Genomic DNA, 27,472 nt, shown 5'->3' with positions numbered 1-27,472 from the left:
TAAAAATACAAAAAATTGGCTGGGTGCAGTGGCGGGCGCCTGTGGTCTCAGCTACTTGGGAGGCTGAGGCAAGAGAATGGCGTGAACCCCGGGGGGCAGAGCTTGCAGTGAGCCGAGATCACGCCACTGCACTCCAGCCTGGGCAACAGAGCAAGACTCTGTCTTAAAAAAAAAAAAAAAAAAAAGAACTAACACCAATTCTTTTCAATCATTTCCAAAAAAATTAAAGAGAAAGGAAAACTTCCTATCTCATATTGAGGCTAGCATTACCCTGATACAAAGCCAGACAAAGACATTATAAGAAAACTACACCCCCAAATCACTTATCAACATTAATGCAAAAATTCTCAACAAAATGGTAGGAAAACAGGTTGAATACCTTATTAACAGGGTAATGCACTATGACCAAATGGAATTGATTCCTGGAATACAAGGATGGTTCAACACACACAAATCAATAAATGTAATATGCCACATTAACCTACTTGCACCTACTTGCTGCAAAACAAGTAAGAGGCCCAGGGTAAGGTGTCCGTTTAGATTCCATATGAATTTTAGGATTGGTTTTCCTATTTCTGTAAAAAAAAAAGTCAGTGGGATTTTGCCAGGGATTGCACTGAATGTGTAGATCACTATAAGGGTGGTAATAACACAAGTTTAAGATTAAAGACATTCTTATTAAGGGTTTAGCTGATTGGTACATAACAAGTGCTGTGTATGGTAGCTTTTATTTTCATCTCCAGAACCTATACCTTGCTAAATACAATATACATTGACTATGTTTTAAGCATGGATCATATGATCTGAAAATTGGAGAATTTATATGCAGAGTATTGCTTTCTTCCAAAAATGGCTGAATCCTATTGCTATGTAATGAGCAGCTCCCGTGGGTCTGGTCACTAGGGATCTACAAACCTGACTTGCACAAGACCCCTTGCCTCGGTCGGGAACCTCAAAGGGGCAGGGAGATGAGTGTGGCCTGGCGGGAACCCTGAAGCTCCTGGAAGCTTCCCCAGGCTCCCAACCAGGGCCCCGCCCCGCCTCGGCTCCAGCCGCCGCCAGCGGGCGCTCCCCGCCCACCGGCGGCTGGGCTCTGGGGCTCTGCGCACTGACTTGGGGCCGGCCGCGGGCAGGCGGGCATCTGGCGGCCGAGGCCGGGACTTCGGGGCCCCTCCCGGGCGAGTCGCGGGGCGGCGGCGGGAAGGGGCGCCGCACGGAGGAAGTGCCCTCTTGGCCGCAGCCAGAGCCGCGCCGCAGGTGCCGCGATGTCGTCCTGGCCGGGGCGCGAGGATGCGAGGGCTGGGGGCGCGTGGTGGCCGCGGGAGCCGCTGGATCAGGAACTGCAGCGGGCCCGGGAGCAGAAGCGGCGGCGGCACGACGCCCAGCAGCTGCAGCAGCTCAAGCGCCTGGAGTCCTTGTGAGTCTCGAGCAGCCGTCTGGGCCGCAGTCCGCGCGCCGCCCGTTTTCTGGGAACAGGGGCGCCCGGCGCCGTGTTGGGCGCTGGGCTGGGTCCTCCAAGCCCCCAGGACCCAGGCAGGGGTGCGGGCCTGTGAGGAACCTAGTGCCTGCGACGGGACTTCTAGTCCTCACTGGGTGGGGAGCGAGGCCCGCCCGGCCACGGAGGGGCCCTGGAGGCCGCGGCGCGGGTGGGCGGGGGCCTCGGCCCGGGGAGGCGGCAGCGGCTTGCGCTCCTCGCCCCCGCTTTGGTGTGGGCGTCGCCTCTTTTGGGGAAGCCAAGAGTTATTGGCGCTTGCTCGGCATTTGTGGACCGAACAGGCAAGTTCAACCGAGCACGCTGCCCCCGCGCTCCACCTCTGAGTTCCCTGGGCCACTGCGACATGGAGAAACCCCGTTCTTTTCATCCTCTGCTACGGAGAAGGGACGAGGACACGGGTCCTGCAGTGTTGGTGTGGCGAGGCCCGGAAGAAGAGAGAATGGGCGGCGGGGACTGGCCACGGCGCTGCTAGGTAGAACAGAGGCGGACTTGTTTTCTCCGGGTTGGAGGGAATTTTGTTGTTGTTTTTTTTATTTTTTACCAGGGTTCAGGGTGGGCATTCAGGGAGCCAGCTGCCGTTTGGCACCACGCGGAATTCGGGCCCTGACTTGGGAGGCCTTGCGCTCCCGTGGCTCCAGTTCAAGGAGGGTCCAGATGACCCGGGAGAGTGTGGTGTAAAGAAGATTCAAAGGTGGGGGAGGGAGATATGGCTTCCCCCTACGCTTCTAGGTTCTTTAGCTGGGCCACAGATTAAATTGTCATAAGACAGATTAACAAGAGAAAAACTATTTTTACATACCCATGCACTGGAGGGCCACAAAAGTGGGAGACTGAAAGAAGGGCCAGGGAATAGGAGCATGGGCCTTTTGGGGCGTGGTGGAGACAAATTATGGAAGGGTCAAAATGTATGATGAATAAAGGTTGCTTTGTTAGGCTCCCAGGTGATAAAAGCTGTCTCCAGGCAGCTCTCTTTCTGATACAGATACGTTTACTCATGGAAATTTCCTTTAAAGATGTAAATTTCTCTTTACAAAAGGGGAGCAGTTGCCGGCGAGGTGAAGTTTTCCTGTGTTGGCTGGTTCTGTTTCTTTTAGCTCAGAGTCATCAGTATGTCAGGGTGGCATATTTTGATGCCAATTAATTTGAGCTTTTTCATGTATTTTGGTAATGAAATGTCACATGCCTGTAACACATATAAACATAGGCATACAGACAAACAGAAGCAGATCTTTTATAAGATTCTTCATTAGCCAGTTTTCTAATAGTCTATGCCCACTTCAGATGATCGTCTGAAGTGATCATCCAGTTAGATCGTCTACTTAGTGATCCTCCACTTAGTGATCGTCCACTTTAGAGGATCAGTCTCTTGATTATCTTTTCCACTACCCTAAGTAATTAGTAGCTAGGCAACCCTAAGCTTGCACTTTCAAAAGACTATTAGATGAAACAAAGTAAAAAATTTACATCTAAAAGACACAGAACTTGTACCTAAACAGAATTATTTGCTGAGACAAAGAAAGGCATAGGTTACAAACTGGTTAAAATTACCAGGAAAAGTATTTTAAACAGAGGTACCGTACCGTTTGTTATGTAAACTTTAAACCAATGTCTTCCCCATCCTGAAATTTTCTAGTGGTTTAGGTCCACCGAGGGAGATGCCCTTACAAAAGGAGGTTTTTTTTCTTTTTTTTTTTTTCTTTCTTTCTTTTTTTTATTTTTTTCTTTTCTGAGACGGAGTTTCCCTCGGTCACCCAGGCTGGAGTGTATTGACACGATCTCGACTCACTGCAACCTCCACCTCCCAGGTGCAAATGATTCTCCTGCCTCAGCCTCCCAAGTAGCTGGGGTTACAGGTGTGTGCCACCACACCCAGCTAATTTTTTTTTTTTTTGTATTTTTAGTAGAGATGGGGTTTCACCGTGTTGGCCAGGCTGACCTCGAACTCGTGACCTCAGGTGATCCACCCGCCTTGGCCTCCCAAAGTGCTGGGATTACAGGCTTGAGCCACAGTGCCCGGCGGTAGATTTCTTTTATAAAGAGTTTCAGGCTGGGCGCCTTTGGCTCACGCCCTTAATCCCAGCACTTTGGGAGGCTGAGGTGGGCAGATCACTTGAGATCGGGAGCTGGAGACCAGCCTGGCCAACATGACAAAACCCTGTCTCTACTAAAAATATAAAAATTAGACAGGCTTGGTGGCGCACGCCTGTAATCCCAGCTACTGAATAGGCTGAGGCACGAGAATCGCTTGAACCTGGAGGCGGAGGTTGTGTTGAGTCGAGATCCTGCCACTGCACTCCAGCCTGGGCGACAGAGCAAGACTATTTTTTTTTTTTTTAAACAGAGTTTCAAAGTAGCCAGCTAAATGTCAGGAAGTTGCATTTTGTCAACTGATTTAGTTTGATAGATTGTTTCTTCTTCTTCTTCTTGTTCTTCTTTTTTTTTGAGGCAGAGTCTCCCTCTTTTGCCCAGGCTGGAGTGCAGTGGCGCTATCTCAGCTCACTGCAACTTCTGCTTCCCGGGTTCAAGAGGTTCTCTGCCGGGCGCGGTGGCTCACGCCTGTAAACCCAGCACTTTGGGAGGCCGAGGCCGGCGGATCACGAGGTCAGGAGATTGAGACCATCCTGGCTAACGTGGTGAAATCTCGTCTCTACTAAAAATACAAAAAATTAGCCGGGCGTGGTGGCGGACACCTGTAGTCCCAGCTGCTCGGGAGGCTGAGGCAGGAGAATGGCATGAACCCGGGAGGCGGAGCTTGCAGTGAGCCGAGATGGTGCCACTGCACTCCAGCCTGGGTGACAAAGCGAGACTCCGTCTCAAAAAAAAAAAAAAAAAAAAAAAAAAAAAAAAAAAAGAGATTCTCGTGCCTCAGCCTCTTGAGTAGCTGGAGTAGCTGAGATTACAGGCACCTGCTACCACACCCAGCTAATTTTTGTATTTTTAGTAGAGAGAGGGTTTCGCCATGTTGTTCAGGCTGGTCTCGAACTCCCATACTCAAGTGATCTGCCTGTCTCGGCCTTCCAAAGTGCTGGGATTACAGGCGTGAGCCAGATCGATTGTTTCTTAATGAGATTTCTGACTTCAGGATGGAGCCTCTTAATGAATAGGACAGTGAAAGAAGTTGCAGTTTTCAGGGCCTAATATTTAAATATGTGAAAAGCAGGCACAGCTGAAAGGCAGAACATTCAGATCTTTAAAATTTAAGGATTCTACTTTTACATTGAATCCCAGGTCCCCAAGAAGAGGGAAATACGACTGAACCAGTGTGAATTCTTTCCACAGTTTTCCTCAATACAAGGACATTTCACAGAGGCTGGTGGGCGACCTGACTCCATCAGTCCACTCTGCAGTCAGCCTCTCTCCCACAGGAGTCTTCAAGTGTTCAAAGCACACCTTTTAAATCTAAACAGGCAAAGAAACAAGTTGCCTCCTTCAGTAGTGACCATTCACTGCAACAGCTGTCAGCCACTTCCAAAACTGCAGCTTTTGCCAGTGACTTGCCAGCCATCACACATGAAAATGTCAAGTTCTCCACCACAATACAAAGTAATACCTCATACTCCAAAAGCCAGAGATCCAGAAACTCCGTGCAAAATAGAGCAGAGCCACAGACCTGAGAGAAGCCTACTCATGACTCTTAGATTCCATGAGAAAGACTGAAGACCCCAAAAAAGGGTGGGCATGGCCCCTTTTTCCGTGTACTCAAGGGGTCTCAGGAGTGCCAGAAGTCTCCTATGTGTTCAAGATGGCAAAAGGGAGAAGGAGCAGAAGTGGAAGGAAATGGAAGAGTTAAGTATTAGAGGGGCCAGTTTGGGAGATTTTAAGCTTTCTAAAAGGCCAATGAAGTTTTACATTTTTCTCAACCAAAATAATGCCAACAAGGTAGGAAGCAAACAGTGGCCTCCAACATTTTTTTAAAAGGGGTTTCAGTCGACTGAAAAATATTATCAGGAATAAGATCGAAAAGAGAAAAAGCAGAAGGGCCTTTTTTAGTTCTCAAAAAAAAAAAAAAAAAAAATTATAGCCTGAATGTCAGCCTTTAATTAAGCAGCTGACTCTGACCACAGAGCTTTTTTTTTTTTTTTTTTTTTTTTTTTGAGATGGAGTCTCACTCTGTCACCCAGGCTGGAGTGCAGTGGCATGATTTTGGCTCACTGCAACCTCCACCTCCCAGGTTCAAGTGATTCTCCTGCCTCAGCCTCCAGAGTAGCTGGGATTACAGGCGTGCGCCACCACAGCTGACTAATTTTTGTATCTTTGGTAGAGATGGGGTTTCACCATGTTGGTCAGGCTAGTCTCGAACTTCTGACCTCATGATCCACCCAACTCAGCCTCCGAAAGTGCTGGGATTACAGGCGTGAGCCACTGCGCCCGGCCGACCACACAGCTCTTTAAAAAAATTTTTTTATATCTCTCATGAGCAGATTTCAGCCAGGGCAAACAGAAAGGAGATTTCCCATTTAATTTGTCTGGTTCTAAACCCAGCTTTTCCCAATTGTGCAGAAAATTGAATTACTTTAGGCCTTTCAAAGGACCCCTATATTGGCCATCATAATTTGGGGTCCTCTCGAGTCATGTGGGCCAATGTGTGCAAATACTTATAAGATGAAACTCAGCAGGTATTGCACATAAAACCAGCTGGTGTCTCCGAGGGAGGGTGCCTCCTTGGGGAGTCCTCAGACCCGGATGATTTGTTACCCATAATTTAGAGACCTGAATCATTCATGACTCTGAGCAGTGTTTTGGGCCTAAATGTGCCGCTTGTGAGTGTATCACTTCGGTGTGTCACCAGTAAGTCAGGTCTCCTCTCTTATGTGTCTCAGAAACGCTGAATCCCCTGAAGGTCACAGAGGACTCACAAATGCAAGATGACCAGCCTTTATGCACACTCACTGGCAGGGTGAGAGGGTACAGATGTTCTCACAGAGGAAACCCTGTAAGGCCACTGAATGTTATGGACAAAGTCCTGGCACCTCGCCAAGTCTCTGATTATTTAGAGTTCCCTAATGGGCCAGAGGGAGTGAGTGCCTTTAATCTTCGGAGGGAAGTATTCATTCTCATAAATTAGGAAAAGGGACTCCAAGAGAGGTTGGTCCAGGGTGAAACAAGCACAGTTTCCATAATGAAAGGTCACAATGCAACAAGACCTTGGCCCCAAACCAAAGTAAATTGGCGACTTAAGACCCATGTGTTGGCAGATAAAAATCCTGATCCCCTGACCTTAGGAAAGTCAGAGATAGGAGTTCATGTTGGTACCAAGTGCCGCTTTCAGAGAGAAACACTGGGCAGTGGTGGAGGGAGGGACCTATTCTGCCAACTATGCCAGATATGTTGACCCAAAGGAAAAAACTGAAGCTAAATTAATATAAGTATAGAGTTTATTTTGGGCCAAGTTTGAGGACTGCAACCCAGGAGTGTATATTCCGGGCAACTTAAATAGATACTCCCAGCTTGCAGTCCTCAAATTTGGCTCAAATGAACTCTACTGACATTAATTTTGCCTTCGTTTTTCTTTTTGGGGGGTTGACATAGTGTGATGTTCACTCAGTCAACAGTTTGTTTCTGTCACAGGCACTTTTTGTTACCTATGCTATGTGGGTCATGTAAGGAAAGGTCCTCAAGGAGTTAAAATCCTTCATAATCAGACTTCTGGGAGATTGCATACAAAATGCAGTTTTTTGGTGGAGTCTGGCCTACTTTTTGGTGGCCCAAGAGCTGAATGACTTTTCACCTTAACAGGGCAGTGGTTGCAGGTTGGAGACCCTGCATTGTGGGCATCCACATTACTGGGCATTTCGGCCTTTTCAAGTAACCGGGTGGTGCTCTTGTTCTCCCATGGAAGACAGATGTTTAAAGATCTTTCTCTAGCATAACTGCAGGCAGGGCCTGGCCCTGCCCAACACTCAGTATATTTAGCTGTAGGATGCCACACAGTGGTTAATACCATGTGTTTATTTTGTAGCTCCTAGACAGCAGAGAGATTATAACCTGCTTTTGCAAATGATAAAATGGAACCTCACCAGCTAAGTAATATAGACCTATAAACTAGCAAAACCAGATGTTTACTTCTGCCATGGTTTGAATGTGTCCTCGAAGTTGATGTATTGGAGAGCTGGGCATAGTGGCTCATGCCTGTAATCCCAGCACTTTGAGAGGACTGGGTGGGTGGATTGCTTGAGCCCAGGAGTTTGAGACCAGCCAGCCTGGCCAACATATTGAGAACCCATCTCTACAATAAAAATAAAGATTAGCTGGGTATGGTAATGTGCACCTGTAGTCCCAGCTACTCTGTAGGCTGAGGTAGAAGGATCACTTAAGCCTGAGAGGTTGAGGCTGCAATGAACTGTGATCAGGCCTGCACTTCAGAGTGGGCAACACAGTGAAACTCTTGTCTCAAAAAGTTCATTTATTGAAACTTAATACCCAATGTAACAGTGTTGAGAGAGAGGACTTTTAAGATGTGATTATGTCAGGAGGGCTCTGCCCTTTTTGTTTGTTTTTTGAGACGGAGTCTCACTCTGTCGCCAGACTGGAGTGCAGTGGTGTGACCTCGGCTCACTGCAACTTCCGCCTCCCAGGTTCAAGCAATTCTCCTGCCTCAGCCTCCCAAGTGGCTGGGACTACAGGCGCACACCACCACGCCCAGCTAATTTTTGTATTTTTAGTAGAGACAGGGTTTCACCATGTTGGCCAGGATGGTCTCCATCTCTTGACCTCATGAGCCACCCGCCTCGGCCTCCCAAAGTCGTGGGATTACAGGTGTGAGCCCCCGCACCCAGCCGGCTCTGCCCTTATAAGTGGATAGGCGCTGTTAGGAGTGGATTAGTTATTGCTGGAGTGGGTTTCTGATAAAAACATGAATTTGCTGTCCATCACCACCCATGCTCTCTCTTGCTCTTCTGCCTTCTGCTATGGGATGATGAAGCAAAGAAATCCCCTGCCAGATGCTAGCCCCTTGACCTTGGACTTTCTAGCCTCCAGAACTATAAGAAATACATCTCCATTCCTTGTAAATTGCCCAGTCTCAGGTATTCCGTTATATCAGCATAATATGGGCTAAGATTCTCAGAGCACTGGGGTTTTCTAGTTTCAGAGATTTGCAACTGACTGGACTGTCAATATGTTTCCTTTGGCTAGTTCAGAGACTTGTTTGCTTTTAAATCAAATGTTATTCATTCCAGAGTAATACTTCATGTAATTTAAACTGTTTAATCAAATAGTACCAAAGGCTTTTTTTTTCTTGACTCAAGTGAACTCATAAGAAAAGGCTAATTTAAAAAAATAGTGGTTTGAGACTCCAGTTACCCTATATATTCTCTGCACCCCTCTCCCCTATCAAGACTTCTGTGAGGAAACTTAGTTTTTTCATCTGGGACATAACTGCTTATTTTATTTTATTATTATTACTATTTTTTTTTTTTTTGAGACGGAGTCTAGCTCTGTCGCCCAGGCTGCAGTGCAGTGGCGCCATTTCGGCTCACTGCAATCTCCGCCTCCCAGGTTCATGCCATTCTCCTGCCTCAGCCTCCCGAGCAGCTGGGACTACAGGCACCCATCACCATGCCCAGCTAATTTTTTGTATTTTTAGTAGAGATGGGGTTTCACCGTGTTAGCCAGGATGGTCTTGATCTCCTGACCTTGTGATCCACCCGCCTTGGCCTCCCAAAGTGCTGGGATTACAGGTGTGAGCCACTGCGCAAGGCTGTAACTGTTTATTTTAAAATCATGTTTCTTGCCTTTCTTTCCCTCACTGTCTCCCTCCCTCCCTCCCTTCCTCCCTCCCTTCCTCCCTTCCTTCCTCGTTTTTTAGAAAGAGGGTCTAGCTGTGTTGCCCAGGCTGGTTTTGGACTTAAGGATTCCTCCCACCCTGGCCTCCCAAGTGCTAGGATTATAGGCATGAGCCCCCATGCCCAGCCTTATATTGCCTTTTTTGATTCCGTAATGGACATTATCTATTTAAGGGGAAAGTTTTTTTCCTTCCACTCTTCTAAGGTCCAGGGCCCCTGTAACAGAAGATTAATAATAAAAAAAAAACAAGCATTGCCAGGCACAGTGGCTCACGCCTGTACTCCCAGCACTTTGGGAGGCTGAGGCGGGCGGATCACCTGAGGTCAGAAGTTTGAGACCAGCCTGACCAACATGGAGAAACCCTGTCTCTACTAAAAATACAAAATTAGCCGGGCCTGGTGGCACATGCCTATAATCCCAGCTACTCAGGAGGCTGAGGCAGGAGAATCGCTTGAACTCGGGAGGCGGAGGTTGCGTTGAGCTAAGATTGTGCCGTTGTACCCTAGCCTGGACAACAAGAGTGAAACTCTATCTTAAAAAAAAAAAAAAAGGCTGAGCGCAGTGGCTCACGCCTGTAATCCCAGCAGTTTGGGAGGCCGAGGTGGGCAGATCACTAGGTCAAGAGATCGAGACCATCCTGGCCAACATGGTGAAACCGCGTCTCTACCAAAAATACAAAAATTAACCAGGCGTGGTGGCGTGCGCCTGTAGTTCCAGCTACTCGGGAGGCTGTGGCAGGAGAATCGCTTGAACCCGGGAGGTGGAGGTTGCGGTGAATTGCACTCCAGCCTGGAAATGAGGGCGAAACTCTCTCTCCAACAAACAAACAGAAAAAAACAAGCAGAAGTTTATTACCATGTATATGTTCTATATACATGGGAGATACCCAGTGGAATGAAAAATCTTGAAGAAGTGGTTTTGGATTCAGGCTTAAATACCATGTTCAGCTAAATCAAAGAAAGAAAGATATGGGGGAACTGAGCTATGGGATAGTGACCAAGAAAAGTATGATAAATAAAGGTAAGGTTTGTTATGCAGGTTTGTGTCTGTGCTTTCCCCGTTGTTAGCATTCTCTTGTGATTGAGAGACATTTTTCTCTTTCTTATATAGAAAGGGTCTCACCTGTGGCCAGGAGCGGTGGCTCACGCCTGTAATCCCAGCACTTTGAGAGGCCGCGGTGGACAGATCACGAGGTCAGTAGTTCGAGACCAGCCTGAGCAACATGTTGAAACCCCGTCTCTACTAAAAACAAAAAAAATTATCCGGGCGTGATAGTGCGCACCTGTAATCCCAGCTACTCAAGAGGCTGAGGCAGGAGAATCGCTTGAACCGGGAGGCAGAGGTTGCAGTGAGCAGAGATCAAGCCACTGCACTCCAGCCTGGGTGACAGAGAAAGACCGCATCTCAAAAAAAAAAAAAAAAGGGTCTCACCTGAAATGGAGATTCCCTTTATAGATGAACATTTGTCTTACAAAAGGGTGACTTCGGCTCTCTTTTCAGAGCTTCCCCTGTGTCTGCTGTTTCTCAAAATGATCCTTAGCCAAAAAGGTGTGCTTTGAGGTAGCATATTCTGGTCTCCTACAGCTATTCAACTGAGGACAGAGTAGGTAAGATTTTAGTTGTTTTACTACCCTTGTCTCCTTCCTTCCTATGTAGTCATATTATAATAATTTTTGCTAAATTAGTAGTTAATATTAACATAAGTATTACTTTGCAATATCATTCACTTTTGCATCAAATAGTGACCTATGATTTATTTTGTATTTTTAAAGTAGTTAATAAGAGCCTGAGTTTTATTCATTTGCTTTTTTTTTTTTTTTTTTTTTTTTTTTTTTGAGATGGTCTCGCTCTGTCGCCCAGGCTGGAATGCAGTGGTGTGACCTCAGCTCACTGCAACCTCCATCTCCTGGCTTCAAGCGATTCTCCTGCCTCAGCCTCCCGAGTAGCTGGGACTACAGGTGTGCACCACCATACCCAGCTAATTTTTGTATTTTTAGTAGAGATGGGGTTTCCCCATGTTGGCCAGGCTGATCTTGAACTCCTGACCTCAAGTCATCCACCCACCTCAGCCTCCCAAAGTGCTGGGATTACAGGTGTGAGCCACCATGCCTGGCTGAATATTATTTTAAACTTTGGAAATATCTTAACATGCTACATAAACTAATGAATTGTTTAGCCCCAGGGAAAAAAGCATCAGCGCCCCCCCCCCCTTAAACTGGTGGGAACTCTTGTAAAATGGACTATTTAGGAAATGCCATTGCAAATAATAATAGAATTCAGAATGTGCAGTTCTATCACATTCCTTTTCCATCTAGGCAATATAGTTACATATTTTTCAGGAATTTGGAACTTAGTTTGGCCATATGTTGTTTGTTCAGCTCCTGTGGCAAAAATAATTATTTGTTGGATTATTGGATATTTTCATAGACTTTACCACCTCCCTTCCAAACTCTCTTAGGCCTCTGTGCATAAGGCATAATATTTTTTAATTTTTATTTAATTGTTTATTTGTTATTTTTTGAGACAGAGTCTCGCTCTGTTGCCCAGGCTGGAGTGCAGTGGTGCAATCTTGGCTCACTGCAAGCTCTGCCTCCCGGGTTCACACCATTCTCCTGCTTCAGCCTCCTGAGTAGCTGGAACTACAGGCGTCTGCCACTGTGTCCGGCTAATTTTTTTGGATTTTTAGTAGAGACGTGTTTTCACCGTGTTAGCCAGGATGGTCTCGATCTCCTGACCTCGTGATCCGCCCGTCTCGGCCTCCCAAAGTGCTGGGATTACAGACATAAACCACCGCACCCAGCCTTTTTTAATTTTTTATTTTGTAGAGATGAGGTCTTGCTATGTTGCCGAGGCTGATGGCAAACTCCTAGCCTCAAGTGATCCTCTTGCCTCAGCTTCTCAAAGTGTTGGGATGACAGGCGTGAGCGGCCAAGGCATAGTATTAACACCTCTAAAGGATGGCTGCAGGAGGTCTGTATCATCTTACCATTATTCTTGCTTATGACACACCACAGCTTTCCATTAGAAGATATTTTAAGTATTTACTTTGGAAAAGCACTGTATCATACCTAAAAAGCTAACTCCGCTACTACCCAGTTGTTTACTATGTAATCTTTGTGGAGTAGGTTCTCCTATTCCATGGATCAGTGATAGTGAGGGTGAGAGGAGTCCTTTGACAGTGTCCACAGATGAAGCCAAAGGGAAATCTTTCTTGCTGTAGCGACCTGTGCCATTTCTCATCTGTACTCTGGCAAAGTCCTTTTCTCTGACACCTTGGAGGCGAATGGAAGGGAAAGCATTTCACTTTCTCCTTAGTCTGTTCCCCTTAATCCCTCCCTCCTCCAGTATTTACTGTGTTCCAAAAGGGTCTCTAAAATCAGTTCATAAGGAATGGTTCAGGATGAAGAGAACATTAAATCATTAAGCATTCCTATACTTTGCAGCCATTCTGAAGTATTAAAATGAGTACTTCCTTGTAGGTTTAGAGGGTTAAGGCACAGATCTGAGCTACAAATATTTGTCTTACTTTTTTGGGGGAGGTGTGAATCCCTCTAAGAGCCCGAGTTGCTCTTTGAGTGCACGAACACCTCACCTGCAGAATTTCCTTCGCATCTCGCCGCCTGTCCCAGATACAGACTTTGCGTGCTCAGCATTCTGGGTCTCCCTCGGGTTCAGTCCCTGGATGGAAATAAGGAAGTCCTGGCCCATCTTTGGTGGCAGGTGCCACCTAGCACAGGGAGGAGAAGCGTTCTGCTCTTCCCAGGTAATACCTGTCTGTGCGGGGGAAGGAAAAATGGCTTCCCTACACCCTTCTAAATTCTTTGGGTAGGCTATGAATTAAATGAACATAAGATGGATTAACAGGAGGAAAAAAATCTTAATTATATCTCTATGTATGGGAGTCCCACAAAAGTATGAGACTCAAAGAAGCACCAGAGGAACCTTATATAGCATCCTCAGCTGCAGAAAGGAACAGGGGATTGGGGCTTCTTGGGGGAGGGGTAGAAATAAATTATGGGAGGATGGGGGAGGAAACATATGGTGAATAAAGTTTGCCTTTTTATGTAGATAAAAGTCTTTCATGTAATAAAATTTGTCTGGGAGCAGCTCCTTTCCTGATACAAACTCCTTTATTACTAATGTAAATTTGCTTTATATAATCGATGTAAATTTCTCTTACAAAATGGCAGCTCTTCAGGGCTACTCCTTGTCTGCAGTTTCTCAAAGTAATCAGCTTGAAATAATTAATATGCCAATGAAGCATATTTTAGGGTGGCATATTCTGGTGCTGTGCAGTCATTTTTGGGGTGCTGTGTCCTGGCCTCAACATCTGTAAACCTGGCAGGCAGGCGGGCGGGCGGGTGGAATTGGAGCTGGCGTTGCAGGCCCATGGGTGAGGGTGCCTCTGGGACGGGCCTGTCCACGCAGCTCTGTGCATCCTCCGCTGTGCCCCCACACTGTGTTGGAACAGATTGCACTCTTTTCCCCCAGGAGCCTGTTCAGTGTTGAGTACATGGATGTTATGCTAGGTCAGTAACCTGAGAAAAACACAGTGATGTTTTGGAACCAGAGGACCCACTGTCTTCTCACCTCATGCTCTCCCTGCAACCTCTTGCTTTCCTTTCTCCTCCAAATAAGATCATTGTGCTGAGAGACATTAGTTATTTCAATGAACATAATTTCTGGATCTCTGCAGGATGTGTTATCTCATCAGTTTATATGTGATCTGGAATGCTGAGCATATTTTATTAACTGTTTTAGATATAATATACTAAAATGTAGTTTTGAATTTTCTCTAAGAATCTCCTTTTTATTCTGACCTGGCTGCTGTCTTTTGTTCATAAAAGTATGTTACGTTCCCATTAAAATGGTTGATGGTTTTGTTTTTTGTTTTCCAGTTATGAAAAACCTCCTCCTGGGCTTATCAAGGTTAGTGTGAAGTTTGTACTCTTGGTTATCCCACTAGACATACTTACAGACTCAGTAATGCATTATGAAAAATGGTTGCATGACATTTAAATGCCCTTTTATGAAAAGCCTGTTTCTTTCCTGCAGATGACTGAGGGGTCATAATTTTTAGTGTTGTCACAAGCCTCTGCCTTTGTGGAAATTTCATCAGCCATGTTTCCCTTCCCTGAGGAACCAGTGCAGGCCCACATGGGTTCCTTGGCCGTGGCCCCCTTCTCTCTGACTGGGGAACGGCATCTTTAAGCTCAGCTGCCTCCTTTTCTTGTCAGCCTTACTTGGCTCAGTCCCTCAGTCCATCCTGTGTTGGTTTCTTGAGTATCAGCAGCTCAGAGAGCAGTCAACTCCGAGGAGACCCGACAGCTCATCCAGTCCAGCTCCCCGGTGGAGGCATCCTTCCTGCAGCTCCTGGCTACGGCACCAGGGTGTGTGCGCACGAGGGAGACTTAGAGTGGCAGGCCACGGCCAAGAAAACTTGCTGTTTCGTAACTGTCAATGGAGAAAGATTCTTCGCCAAGCGCAGTGGCACATGCCTAAAATCCCAGCACTTTGGGAGGCTGAGGCAGGTGGACCACCTGAGGTCAGGAGTTCGAAATCAGCCTGGGCAACATGGCAAAACACTGTCTCTATTAAAAATACACACATACAAAAAAATTAGCTGGACGTGGTGGTGCACATCTGTAATCCCAGCTACTCAGGAAGCCAAGGCAGGAGAATCTCTTGAACCTGGGAGGTGGAGGTTGCAATGGGCTGACATTGCACCACTGCACTCCAGCCTGGATGACAGAGCAAGACTGTCTCAAAGAAAAAAAAAAAAAGATTCTTAAAAACCATCTTTCTATTGAAATTTAATATTCATGGAAACTTGAAAAAATTACAGCATGCATGCGACTGTAAAACATGATAGGGGCCTTCAGGGTATAATAAGCTATTGTAGCATAATATGCCATTTCTATTATTCCAGGAAGCCTGGTTTACTTTAATTCATACATCTTGCTTCATTCTACATTTTGAGGTAGTGAAACCTTTTTTTAAAAAACCTTAGAATCTAATTTACATCAAAATTTGGAGCTCACCAGTCATTGCTATATAAGGACAGATTTTTCTGCTTCACCAGTAACTTTTCTCTAAGAACAGCTACATTGTTTTTGGTATAGTTCTTCTGGTACATTTGTTTCCTTTTTTTTCGATCAAGTGTAACTGTCTTTCTTTCTAGTTTTGAGGGGTAATTAAGATGACCTTGGCACCCACAGACCAGGAAAAAGCCAGGTGAGGGTGACTCCTAGGGAAGCAGGAGAGAATCCCAGCGCTATCTTGCCATGCTATTTGCACCTTGTTCCCTTTGTTTAGGAAGATGAGGCTAAGCCAGAAGATAGCATACCAGATATACCAGGCAATGAATACGCCAGAGAATTTCTGGCTCATGCACCAACTAAAGGACTTTGGTTGCCACTGGGGAAAGAAGTCAGAGTTATGCAGTGTGAATGTGGGAGAGTTCCCCTAATCCATGCAACTTACATGCCGCAACTTACAAAGCGCGTTTACTTCTTTTATTTAACTTGTTCTCACCACAGCCCTCTTAGAGCCAAGGCATGTTCTCTGTCTTCTAGATGAGGAAACAGATGTGTGTATGTCAGTAAGTGGTCCCAGGGAAGACGTAGAGCAAAGCTTTGACTCTAGGGTTCCTGATTCCAAGTCCAGCATTCTTTGCTCAGGACTGTCACTGCCTTGGGAGTACACTCTTCGGTGTTACTCCTGTAATAGAAAGGACTTTCTGGAAAGTAATAGGAAGTAAAGAAAGTAATAGAAAGGAAATGCCATGGGAGTGAGGGATGCATTAGAGAACGGGTCTTTTTGGGTCTTGCCTCTGTTGGGCACTCTCTATCAGTGGTGCTTTGTCCATGTAACGGAGAGAAGCTACCATGGGAGGATGGGTCTACACAGGTGGAACTCTCTGTGCGCATGCCCTGCCCCTCCGTTGCAGTTAACACATTCGAGAGCGTACGAAATTACTCTTCCATTGGGAGGCCGAGGCGGTGGATCATGAGGTGAGGAGATCGAGACCATCCTGGCCAACATGGTGAAACCTCGTCTCTACTAAAAATACAAAAATTAGCTGGGTGTGGTGGCGCATGCCTGTAATCCCAGGTACTCGGGAGGCTGAGGCAGGAGAATCGCTTGAACCAGGGAGTCGGAGGTTGCAGTGAGCTGAGATCACGCCACTGCACTCCAGCCTGGCGACAGAGTAAGACTCTGTCTCAAAAAAAAAAAAAAAAAAAAAAATCAATCTTCCAAAGAGTCAAGCTTTTTTAGTTGGTTGTTTTGATGTTTATCTCCACATCTTAACCCCATAGTTGCATTGTTGCTCCATGATTTTTCAAGTTTGGTCATTTTCTGATGCCTCTGTACAGTGGAAGATGAGTATGTAGTTCTCTCTCCTGCTCTCACCACACATGTGTACCCTTTTATATCTCATTTTCCCAGTAATTATTATATCATAAACTTAGTTAAATAAGTCTTTGGTATTTACTATGATTATGACCAGAGGTGAGCTGTATCTTGCAAAATGTGTCCGCTCAAAATGTGTCCTGTTTTTATTGTTTTTGAGTTTTTGTTATTATTATTATTGTTTTTGCTTTCCATGTACTGATCTGTAATTCAACCTCAACATTTTTCCAAGCTTCAAACTTAAGACCTTCAATGTATATACTTGAGATGTTCTGTCCATTTCATCTTACTGAAGGTGGCTACTCCCATGCGTATCATCCAGGCATCTCCCTTTACCAATATATGATGGACTGAATGTTTGGGTCTCCCCATAATTCGAATGATGAAGCCCTCATCTCTAATGTGATGACATTTGGAGATGGGGCCTTGTGAATTAATTAAGGTTAAATGAGATCATGAGGTTAGGGCCCTCATGATATGATTGGTGCCCTTTCAAAGAAGAAATTCTAGAGATCACTCTCTCTTGTGTAGGCCCAGGCTCATACATACATTCTCGCTCTCACTCTTGCTCTCTCCTGTCCTATCCCTACCCCCTTGTGCCATGTGAAGACAAAGTAAGAGGGCTGCCATCTCAAGTTAAGAAGAAAGCTCTCACCACAGACCTACCTTGCTGGGACCCTGAGCTCAGATTCCAACCCTCCAGAGCTGAGAAAATCAATTTCTGTTGTTTAGGCCACCTGGCACACAGCATTGTTACGTTAGCCCAAGTTGACTAAGACACCATCATTCTGCAGGTTCCTTTAGCCTCTCTCCTGTGTTGGATCACCCATTTTCCTATATCTGGAGTGTTCTTTGTTACTATATTCTGTTCTTATGGTGTAATGAATCCTAGGGCAATTTCCTTCCAAATGGGTTTATAGGAGGTAGAATTTTTTTTTTTTTTGAGACAGGGTCTTGCTCTGTTGCCCAGCCTGGAGTGCAGTGGTACCATCTTGGTTCACTGCAGCCTCGACCTCCTAGGCTCAAGTGATCATCCCATTTCTCAGCCTCCCACGTAGCTGGGACTACAGGCATGCGCCACCACGCCTGGCTGATTTTTTTTTCTTTTTTTGAGACAGAATTTCAGTGTTGTTGCCTAGGCTGGAGTGCAATGGCGCGATCTCAGCTCACTGCAACCTCTGCCTCCTGGGTTCAAGCAATTCTCCTGTCTCAGCCTCCTGAGTAGCTGGGCTACCGGTGTGCACCACCGCACCCAGCTAATTTTTGTATTTTTTGTAGAAAGAGGGTTTTGCCATGTTGCCCAGGCTGGTCTCAAACTCCTGGGCTCAAGCAATCCACCCACCTCAGCCTCCCAAAGTGCTGGGATTACAGGCATGAGTCACCATGCCCGGCCCCTAGAATTTTCATTTTATGTTTTTTAATTTGCTAGGATATCACATTCTAAGTTAAAAGTTTCCTTTAGATTTTGAAGGCATTGCTTCATTTTCTTGATTTTCTAGAATAGCTATTGGGAAGTCCAAAGTAATTCCAATTTTTGATCTTTTCATAAGGCCTTTTATCATTGCTTTGTTTTTTATTTTTCTTCTGTGGAAGTTTATAGCATCTTCTCATTCCTGGTGTTCTAAAATTTCACGGTGGTGAGCCCTTTCAATCTGGAATGCAGGTCTCTCAATTTTAAGAATTTTAAAAATTCTTTTCTCACCTCTGTGTCTGCAGTTCTATTCTTCAGATAGGCACTATCCTAGCTTACACCAGTTTAGCCCTATTCAGGGTAGCAGGGACTACACAAAAGTGTTCTTTTTAGGGATCAGCGATTATTAATTAGGGTCATTTTAGAGAGTGGCTGCCACAGTATTCTTGTTTTTTAGTGAAAGATGAAAAGTTGATTGGTAGCCCTGAGTGCCTGAGTAGGGCTTGTTGATCCCCCACTGCAGGGTGATTTTCTAGGTAGTTGGTTGGGGAACATCTGAGTTCAGTTATCTATTGATTTTTCTTCTTTGGGTGGCTTGTATTTTCCCAGAGAAGGCTCCCACGTGGAAGGGAAAGCCATGCTGTGAGTGTTCTGGGAGCTGAGTGGAGGGAGTCTGGGAAATCTGTCATTGGTTTTCCATTCATTCGTATGATCCTCTATGTCTGTTGCGGCAACTTCCTTAAGACCCACCTGATGTCTCCGTGGCCAGAGAACCTCTGTTATACCTTTTCCACATGCTAAACAAACTTCTGCCCAGACTAAGGAGAATTGCCTATGGACATTTAACCAATCCTCCTGATTTTAACTGCCCCTTCACCTCCAGAAGTATCTGGTGCTGCCAATTGCTGAGCTTTGGAGGTTCTGCAAGTAGAAACTGAGTCGGTTCTCAGATTCTACCCTCTGCTGCCTTAGACTTCAGTTTTCTAGGATCTGCTATTCTTTTAGTATTCATCTATCTGCATTATAACATCCCACGTTTTTTCATATGTGACTCTTTTATGGTTTCCCAGTCCTTCTGTGTTTATGGCTTTTTAAAAAAGGATTTTTGTGGTTTATTTTGGATCACTCAAAATCACCCTCAAATAAATGTATAATGCAGTGATTTTTAGTAACTACCAAGTGTGTGCAACCATCATCATAAATAAGTGTTAGAACATTTTCATCCCCTCCTTAAGATCTCTCAACCCATTTCCAGTTCATCCCCATTGATGCCCTAGGCAACGATTAGTCTACTCTCTTAGTGAATTTGGCTTTTCTGGACATATATAAGTGATCTGACTCTTTTCGTTTAGCATGTTTTTGAGGTCCTGCAATGGCATCATTTATTATTTCCTTCTTCTGCTTATCTTTGGTCTGGGTTACTCTTCTTTTTCCTGATTTTTATGATAAAAACCTAGATTATTGATTAAGACCTTTCTTCTATTATAAGAATTGGAAGCTATAAATTTTCTTTTAACCACTATTTTATCGGCATTGTGTAAATTTTGATATGTTGTGTTTTAATTTTCTTTCTTTTTTTTTTTTTTTTGAGATGGAGTTTCGCTCTTGTTGCCCAGGCTGGAGTACAATGGCATGATCTTGGCTCACCGCGACCTCCGCCTCCCAGGTTCAAGCGATTCTCCTGCCTCAGTCTTCCCAAGTAGCTGGGATTACAGGCATGCGCCACTATGCCTGGCTAATTTTGTATTTTTAGTAGAGGCGGGGTTTCTTCATGTTGGTCAGTCTGGTCTCGAACTTCCAGCCTCAGGTGATCCGCCCGCCTCGGCCTCCCAAAGTGCTGGGATTACAGGTGTAAGCCACCGCGATGGCCTGCTGTGTTTTAATTTTCTGACATCCCCTTTGACTCATGGATTGGTTACGCATGTGTTATTCAGTTTCTACATACTGGATTCTTCAAATTTCCTTATATTGTTGCTTTGTAATTTGAGTCCATCCTAGTTAGAGAATATACTTTGTATGGTTTAAATCCTTTTAATTATATTAATTCTTGTTTTATGGCCTAATATAGGGTCTCTGGATAATGTTCCATATTGACTTCAAAAAGTGTTTATTGTTGGGTGGTAGAGTGTTTTATAAGTAACTGTTAGGTTCAATTGATTTATATTGTTGTTTAAGTCTTGTAATTCATTGCTGATCTTCTCTCTAGTTGTTTTATCCATTATTGAATGAGGAGTATTGAAATCTCTATTATTGTTACACCGTTCTATTTTCCCCTTCAATTCTATCAGTTTGTGTCTCAACTATCTGGCACTCTTTTGCTAGGTTACATACATATTTATAAATGTTGTATCTTCTTGATGGATTGACCTTTTTATCAATACAAAATATCCTTCTTTGTCTCTGGTAACAGTTTTTGTCTTAGGGTGTATTTTGTCTGAAATTATCGGAGCAGCTTTAGTTCCCTTTGGGTTACTGTTTGCATCATATATTCCTTTCCATCCTTTTACTGCCAACCTAATTGGGTCTTTAAATCTACAGTGTGTCACTTATATCTAGTGCTTGGATAGCATTTTTCCTTTTTTTTTTTTTTTTTTTTTTTTTGAGACAGGGCCTCTCTGCTGCCCAGGGTGGAGTGCAGTGGCACAATCACAGCACACTGCAGCCTAGACCTCCCAGGCTCAAGCAATCCTCCCACCTCAGCCTTCTGAGTAGCTGGAACCACAGGTGCTTGCCACCATGCCTGGCTAATTTTTAAAAATTTTTTGTACAGACGGGATCTCACCTTGTTGCCTAGGCTATTCTCAAACTCCTGGGCTCAAGCAGTCCTCCTGCCTTGGCCTCCCAAAGTGTTAGGATTACAGGCATGAGCCACTGCACCTGGCGGATAACATTTTTATCCATTCTATAAATCTCTGCCTTTTGATTGAAGTGTTTAATCCATTTGCATGTAATATAATTACTGTTAAGGTAATTACAAACCTATGCACATGGTTTTGATTTTACCAATTTTAGTATTAATTAGAAAAGTGGTTCTCCCACTTTGATATTTCTACAAATAACCAGTAAATCTTTTAAAATTCAGGTTATATGTCCATATCAGGCCCAACCCAGAAATACTGAATATCCAGTATTTGAATATCCAAAATACTGAATACTAGATATTCAATATTTCTGGGTTGGGTCCTATACCTTGCTTTTCTAACAACCTTGCTCATATTGTTGAATTTGCTGGTCCATGGACCACACTTTGAATATCTGGGATCACCTTTCCATAATAAGAGGATTTTGAGCGGAAATGGTATCTTCTGGATATCTATACATCAATGCTTGTTCCATGGCATTTCACATCCCTTCAGCTTTGCCATAAAGGCACATATTAGTTTGAAAGAGTGTAGTCCTTCTCCCCCAAACTTTAAATGGTGAGGGAGATAAGGATAGGGATAGCTCACAGGCAATCAATAGAAATCCACAAACTTAGGCCAGGCACAGTGGCTCACACCTGTAATCCCAACACTTTGGAAGGCTGAGGTGGGCTGATCACGAGGTCAGGAGTTCAAAACCAGCCTGGCCAACATGACGAAACCGTCTCTACCAAAAATATAAAAAATTAGCTGGGTTTGGTGGCATGCATCTGTAATCCCAGCCACTTGGGAGGCTGAGGCAGAAGAATTGCTTGAACCCAGGAGGCGGAGGTTGCAGTGAGCCGAGATCGCGCCACTACACTCCAGCCTGGGCAACAGAGCGAGACTCGTCTCAAAAAAAAAAAAAAAACCCACAAACTTAATTTTTTTCAGTGGTTTCCTGCATTCAATCCTCAAATAAAAATAAAAAGAGAAAAACTTTCTTGCCCTGTCACTACGTATTTTCTGTAGTTGCCAGCATAGAGCAAACTTGGCTGAACTTACCTAAATCCCTCTTCATACTTCCCGACCTAGTTGCTTAGAATTGCTTAATACTCAAACACAGGGTCTCATTCACCATTCCCATACAGTTTCCTGATTTACACCACATCCAGATGGTGCTGAGAGGATATGAACAGGCGAGAGAAGTAACAAGGATCTCATCCATTCTTGCTTCACTCACCACTTCCTTTTTCTCAGAGGTCAATGCCTGATGCCAGGTCCACTCACTGAAATTCCATAAAGACTGGAATTTGTTGCCTTGGAGCATGTATATACATTCTCTTGTTATTCTCCTCCCAGTTCCTCATCAGGACCTTCTGTTGCTTCTAATAGTTAACCTCTTTAAATAGCACAGTTTCCCTCTTCTGAAAGTAAAGTTGCAGTAGGGTTCTGATGGCATTAATATTTTAAAAGAACTTGTGATTTTGTTTACTTAAAAGTGAGGGATGTGAACAGATGTCGACTCAACCTGAGAAAGAAGGTATTTGTTCTAGTGACTAAATTTATAAATGAGATTCAGAGCCACTTGATTAATAGAAGATATTTACTTTGAAAAATACAGCGAGACACACTAAAAAAATTGACCTTTTGCAGTACTTTTCATTGGATTGCTTCATAATTTCTTGGTGTTGGAAAATTAATTCCTAAAGCACAAGATTAAAGGATGCTTGGGTAAGCAATTAGTTTACCTGTCTTTTCTGGGACCTTACACGGTTCATCCATGATTGCATTTTCTTTTAGAATTGGAGTTTAATGAATAAAAACTTTAATATAATCTACTGATTCTTTATCTCACTAAGGTGAAACACTCTTATCTTACAGAAATATTTCCCCTTTTCTTTGCTTTTAGGTTGGCATTGCAAATGGTATGGTCACCGAACAGGCTACAAAGAATGCCCTTTCTTTATCAAAGACAACCAAAAGTTACAACAGTTCAGAGTAGTAAGTAAAACCATACAATGTCATTTTACCTTAATCAGAGATGGTGAATATTAATTAATCCGATAGTCACCAGCGAACTGAATGTTCACATAAATTACATTCCCAGAAGCCTTTTGGCCAAAGCGTCTGCTGTTAACTATACCTCTGTTAAATTGCATTTGTAAGACAAATTTAGCTCTTTAAGAAAAAAACTAACATTTATAAACGTGTTCTTTGCTTATACATTGGGACAGTGATTCTTTTTCTGAAGAAGACATTGTTCCCTATTCAACTCCCCTTTTTAAAATTTATTATATAAAAAGTCATGTCTCATAACTAAAATCAGAGTTTTAGTTTCCCAGTCTTTTTTTTTTTTTTTTTTTTTTTTTTTGAGACAGAGTCTCGCTCTGTCACCCAGGCTGGAGTGCAGTGGTGCCATCTTTGCTCACTGCAAACTCCACCTTCCAGGTTCACGCCATTCTCCTGCCTCAGCCTCCCAAGTAGCTGAGACTACAGGCACCCGCCACCATGCCCAGCTAATTTTTTGTATTTTTAGTAGAGATGGGATTTCACCATGGTCTCGATCTCCTGACCTCGTGATCCACCCGCCTCGGCCTCCCAAAGTGCTGGGATTACAGGCGTGAGCCACTGCGCCTGGCCTAGTTTTCCAGCCTTTAAAGAGTAGATGTCTGTCTATTATAAGCTAGAATTGTGTATATTTCCTCTTAAATGACAGTTAGACAGATCTATCATTAGCATCATCTATCTATCATTCCCCGCTTTAACATAGAGTCACCTCCCAGAGGTGTTAATTCACTGTTCAGTAACTACTGCCAAGTGAAATATGCTGCCTTGTGGATCTACTGAAGTGATCAGCATACACTTGTCCCTTGGTATCCATGGGGAATTGGATCCCAGTATCCCCTGGGATACCAAAATCCACAGGTGCTCAAAGTCCCTCATATAAAATGGTATAGGCTGGGTGCAGTGGCTCAACGCCTGTAATCCCAGCAGTTTAGGAGGCCTAGGCAGGTGGATCACCTGAGGTCAGGAGTTTGAGACTAGCCTGGCCAACATGGTGAAACCCCAGCTCTACTAAATATACAAAAATTAGGCTGGGCACGGTGGCTCACGCCTGTAATCTCAGCACTTTGGGAGTCTGAGGTGGGCAGATCACCTGAGGTCAGGAGTTCAAGACCAGCCTAGCCAACATGGTGAAACCCCGTCTCTACTAAAAATACAAAAATTAGCCAGGCGTGGTGGTGGGCACCTGTAATCCCAGCTACTTGGATGGCTGAGGCAGGAGAATCACTTGAATCCAGGAGGTGGAGGTTGCAGTGAGCTGAGATCATGCCACTGCACTGCAGCCTAGGCAACAGAGTGTGACTCTGTCTCAAAAAAATAAAAATACAAAAATTAGCCAGGCATGGTAGCACATGCCTGTAATCCCAGCTACTTGAGAGGCTGAGGCATGAGAATCGCTTGAACCTGAGAGGTGGAGGTTGCAGTGAGCCAAGATCATGCCACTGCACTCCAGCCTGGGTGGCAGAGTGAGATTTTGTCAAATAAAAGAAAGTAGAATAGCATATAAGCTGTGGACATACTCCTATATATTTTAATCGTCTCTAGATTACCTATAATACTGAATAAAAAGTAAATTGTTGTTAAACTGTATTGTTTAGGGAATAATGATAAGAAAAAAGAGTCTGAACATGTGTAATACAGACACAACCATCCTTTTTTTTTTTTTTCAAATATTTTCAATCCTTGGTTGAATCTGTGGACATGTAACTCTTCAGGATACAAGGGCCAGCTATATATGAAACTGAAGTCAACAGACATTCTTTTAACATTTTAAGGCGTTTAAAGTTTTGTGTTTTTGTCTTAATCTGAAAAATAATTATTCTAGATCAAGCACTTTTAGGTGAAATGTCAGTTTTTACAGATAGTATAAAACAAAACTTGTTGATAAATCTCAAAAATTTAATGTACTTCTTTTTGACTTAGAAATTCAACTTCTAAAAATTTACCCTAAGGATATAACAGAACATCAATTTATACAACTCTATAAGCATAATGTTCATAATTATGATTTTTTATTTTATTTTATTTTATTTTGAGACAGAGTTTCTCTCTTGTTGCCCAGGCTAGAGTGCAGTGGTGTGCTCTCGGCTCACTGCAGCATCCGCCTTTTGGTTTCAAGCAATTCTCCTGCCTCAGCCTCCCAAGTAGCAGGGATTATAGGTGCCCACCACCACACCTGGCTAATTTTTGTGTTTTTAGTAGAGACGGGGTTTCACCATGTTGGTCAGGCTGGTCTCGAACTGCTGACCTCGTCATCCACCTGCCTCGGCCTCCCAAAGTGCTGGGATTACAGGTGTGAGCCACCGTGCCCGGCCCATAATTGTGAATTTTAAGTCACTTTCAGTTATAGAATACAAGAATACAGTTTATTTGCCTTATTAAGCAAAATGAAGACCTCATAGTCAGGCTTTTACCACCAAGTCCAATCTTGCCTCCCTCCTGAGAGTGGGTTTGCAGCAAATAGCTTGATGTGTATATTTCCAGACTTCCTTGGGGTATGTAACACGTATTTTTGAGTACTTATAAATGATCATTCCTATGTATCATTTTGCAACTCATTTATTTTGCTTAATACTATCTTTTGGTCTAACCCAATAGAACAAAGAGAATTACCTCGGTATTTCTAAACTTGAGTACTGTTTTATAGTACGACTCTTCCAGTTTATGCAGTTATTTCCTCATGAAGAATATTATTTCGTGTATTTTCTCATTGGGAAATTATTTTTATAGCCTTAATGAGTTATCAGTGATATGACCCTTAAAAGGATTAAAACATGTTGAGCGTGTGGCTACATCAAACAGTAAAAGAAAAAAAAACTGTTTTCTGTAACATAGGGGTTTAATTTTATTTAACTAACGGTCCATGAAGCCTAACCAAACCTTAACCTTCTCTGTCCCTTAAGGCACATGAGGATTTCATGTATGACATCATACGAGACAATAAACAACATGAAAAGAATGTAAGGTGAGGTTGTCCTGGTGATAGTATCTATTTAAAGTTTTAACTTATATAAAGTTGGAAAAAAACCTTCTAGCACTAGGAGAGTGATATAGTAAACATGGCACTTCAATTGTGAAATATTTATTGGGTAGGAGTCATGGCTGACAAGACCAGTGTTGGGGAATCAGCAGGCCAGCCTCCTCCTCCTTGGGTTAGCTTAAAGCTGTAGGCTTGGTCCAGTTCTCTGACCACTGCAGTTGATATTAGCCACCCATGTTGTGCTATTTACTTGCATGGTACAATTGGTACCATGCAAGGTAATTCAGTTTATCTCCTCTAACGTCTTAAGGATCTCAGCTTTTGTTAAAGATTATACCTAGACAAGATTAGAGAGTGAATAATCAGGAGAGTTTGTTTTTTCAAACTGGTTACATTAAATTATAATTGTTGAGGGTGTAGATTATCTATTAGGAAATTGAGCAGTTGGGGAATGGTTTAGTAAAGTATGCGTCTGTTAGAATTTATAATTGTAAGTACTGTGGGAACCTACAGAAATGACTAGGACAAGGAAAAGAATACAAAAATGGTTTGTACACTGGTTACAGTCACATAAACATAGGCATTCAGGTGAAGAAGAATGGAGAAAACAGGTAAAAATAAAAATAAGTACTGTCTTTGTGATGTGGTTATTCATGATCCTTCCATATTGCTTTTGAATGACATATTTATCTAAGCAACTGTTGTAAGTTAAAGCTAAAACTGACTGTTCTTTGATCAATTTTGAATGTTTAGGATACAGCAGTTAAAACAGTTACTGGAGGATTCTACCTCAGGTGAAGATAGGAGCAGCTCCAGTTCCTCTGAAGGTAAAGAGAAACACAAGAAAAAGAAGAAGAAAGAAAAGCATAAGAAAAGGAAGAAAGAAAAGAAAAAGAAGAAAAAACGGAAGCACAAATCTTCCAAGTCAAATGAGGGTTCTGACTCAGAGTGACAAGGATGTGACTTGTTCAACATTCTCTTCTCAAACACTGACCAAGGAACAGAGGAAGATGCAGTCAGAGAAAGTAGCAGGATAGAGACGCCGAGAGAGGAGTATATGTGGGTCACAGCAGTGAGCTCCCACCCGCCTTGCAGTGAAGATGTGACCCCAGGAGAGGGAGTGTCTCCTTCCAGGTGCTAGCTCTGGACAGCAGCTGATTTTAGGCAGGAAAGTTTCTTCATCGTTGTCCTCCCTGCTGGTCACATGAGTTTACGATTCCTTAGAAGTGTCTCCCACAGGGTGGCAGGACTGGGAGAATCTCTGAGGCGTGTCTTCCAGGCCCTCCCACAGCTTGTGCCCTCCACAGTGTAGACTTGAACACTTGGCCTCATGTGATCCTTCCACCTTGGCCTCCCAAAGCATTGGGATTACAGGCGAGAGCCACTGGTTGGCTAAAATATTTATATTTACCTGACATGATTTGTTGATTTGGGGGCTAGGGAGTTCTTAAAACAACAATAAAAAATCTTCTGTGGCTGCA

General features: G+C 43.8%; 1 pseudogene across 1 annotated transcript, besides 3 other annotated features; it reads left to right on the top strand.

The window, feature by feature from the left end:
• Window positions 966-1,375: a silencer, noted in NCBI's record as "silent region_18083". NCBI's record gives its function as "represses an Ori minimal core promoter by ATAC-STARR-seq in GM12878 lymphoblastoid cells {active_cell/tissue: GM12878}" and the evidence as "EXISTENCE:reporter gene assay evidence [ECO:0000049][PMID:35858748]".
• Window positions 1,079-27,472, top strand: RP9P (RP9 pseudogene; annotated as a pseudogene). Its single transcript, NR_003500.2, has 6 exons — window positions 1,079-1,417; window positions 10,391-10,473; window positions 14,179-14,209; window positions 22,857-22,948; window positions 25,915-25,976; window positions 26,745-27,472. The product of NR_003500.2 is annotated as an RP9 pseudogene (transcript).
• Window positions 1,566-1,725: a silencer, noted in NCBI's record as "silent region_18082". NCBI's record gives its function as "represses an Ori minimal core promoter by ATAC-STARR-seq in GM12878 lymphoblastoid cells {active_cell/tissue: GM12878}" and the evidence as "EXISTENCE:reporter gene assay evidence [ECO:0000049][PMID:35858748]".
• Window positions 2,375-3,263: an enhancer, noted in NCBI's record as "OCT4-NANOG-H3K4me1 hESC enhancer chr7:32980636-32981524 (GRCh37/hg19 assembly coordinates)". NCBI's record gives its function as "activates a minimal SCP1, AML or CMV promoter by ChIP-STARR-seq in naive H9 embryonic stem cells {active_cell/tissue: H9 hESC(naive)}" and the evidence as "EXISTENCE:reporter gene assay evidence [ECO:0000049][PMID:30033119]".

This window comes from Homo sapiens, chromosome 7 (genome assembly GCF_000001405.40).
Source record: "Homo sapiens chromosome 7, GRCh38.p14 Primary Assembly".
NCBI classification, from domain to species: Eukaryota; Metazoa; Chordata; class Mammalia; order Primates; family Hominidae; genus Homo; species Homo sapiens.
The sequence above is the reverse complement of the archived record's forward strand: the minus strand, read 5'-3'. Positions and strand labels throughout refer to the sequence as shown.